Source organism: Homo sapiens, chromosome 6 (genome assembly GCF_000001405.40).
Source record: "Homo sapiens chromosome 6, GRCh38.p14 Primary Assembly".
In the NCBI taxonomy this organism is placed as follows: Eukaryota; Metazoa; Chordata; class Mammalia; order Primates; family Hominidae; genus Homo; species Homo sapiens.
Genome location: NC_000006.12, coordinates 141,829,335 through 141,830,740, shown reverse-complemented (window position 1 = coordinate 141,830,740; position 1,406 = coordinate 141,829,335). Strand labels below are relative to the sequence as shown.

Here is a 1,406-nt window from a genome sequence, read left to right as displayed (position 1 = left end):
CTGACCTCAGGCCATGCAGATAGTATCAAGAAATGAAACTCACCAGTTACCACATCCAAACAATGAGATGCCAGAGCCCTCATACATCATAATTTGTTTACCAACTCCTCTTCCTTACCTTTTCCTAATTTCTGTTTTCCCACATGCAGTTATATTGCTTCCCTGCTATGTAAATTCATAATTGTATTCAGTTGGGGAGACAGATTTGAGACTGATCTCCTGTTTTCCTTGGCTGAAGCACCCAAATAAAGCCTTCTTTGGCAATACTTGTTACTGAAGTGACTGGCTTTCTGTGAGAGCAAGCAGCAGGACCTAGTCCAAACCCCTGGCATTTTTGTAACTGTTACGTGCATCCGTTTGAAGAGACCAGCAAACAGGCTTTGTGTGAGCAATAAAGCTTTTAATTACCTGGGTGCAAGTGTCCTGAGTCCGAAAAAGGAGTCAGCAAAGGGAGATAGGGGTGGTGCAGTGTTATAGGATTTGGGTAAGTAGTGGAAAATTACAGTTAAAGGTGGTTTTTCTCTTGCAAGCAGGGGGTGGGGGTCACAAGGTGCTCTGTGGAGAGCTCTGAGATTCATTGTCCAGGAGAAGGAATGTCACAAGGTCAATTGATCAGTTTGGGTGGGGCAGGAACAAATCACAATGGTGGAATGTCATCAGTTAAGGCAGGAATTGGCTATTGTCACTGCTTTTGTGGTTCTTCAGTTACTTCAGGCCATCTGGATGTATACATGCAGGTCACAGGGGATATGATGGCTTAACTTGGGCTCAGAGGCCTGACAGTAACAAATTTTGATTCCCTGATTAGGATTGTATTACTTATAGCTCAGCTGCCAAGGGCCAGGAGTTTCAGAAGCCCTCCTAAGCAGCCGCCTCTTTTTTTTTATTTGCTCAGAGGTGGGCTTTGATCTCTCTCTCTCTGTGGTCCACTGCCTCTGGCCTCAGCCGCATTCCTGATTGCCTAGGAAGAACAACCTTTGACATTTGACATCTGCATCTGAATGGGTGAGTGTCTTTTGTGGGTACCAGACAACAAAGTCTATTCCTCTTGATTTGAGGAATTCTAAAGGAATTTCCATCTGCAATTTGAAGAAGCCCAACTGAATGAAAGAGGAAAGCACTTCGTTTCAGTTTGGACACTCTTGGGCTTATTGGCTGCAGCAGTTGGATTATGTTTGGTGGTTGTTATTGTATGTGTCCTGTTGATTGGCAAAGTGGGATGGAGTTTCTGCATTCAGGCTTTTATGCCACTGTTCTAAGCACTGTCCTGCCTGGTCAGTATGTGATGTTCTTTTGTGGTGTTTGGCCCCAGTGTTCTTTTGAGTGTGAAGAGATTTGGTCTTAAAAACTCAAACTGCCATGGAAACTGCTTTACCCAAAATTTTGGTTCACAGCTTTATTTGAAT

The 1,406-nt window shown here is 43.9% G+C and overlaps 1 annotated feature.

The window, feature by feature from the left end:
• Positions 338–861: an enhancer, noted in NCBI's record as "OCT4-NANOG-H3K27ac hESC enhancer chr6:142151017-142151540 (GRCh37/hg19 assembly coordinates)". NCBI's record gives its function as "activates a minimal SCP1, AML or CMV promoter by ChIP-STARR-seq in naive H9 embryonic stem cells {active_cell/tissue: H9 hESC(naive)}" and the evidence as "EXISTENCE:reporter gene assay evidence [ECO:0000049][PMID:30033119]".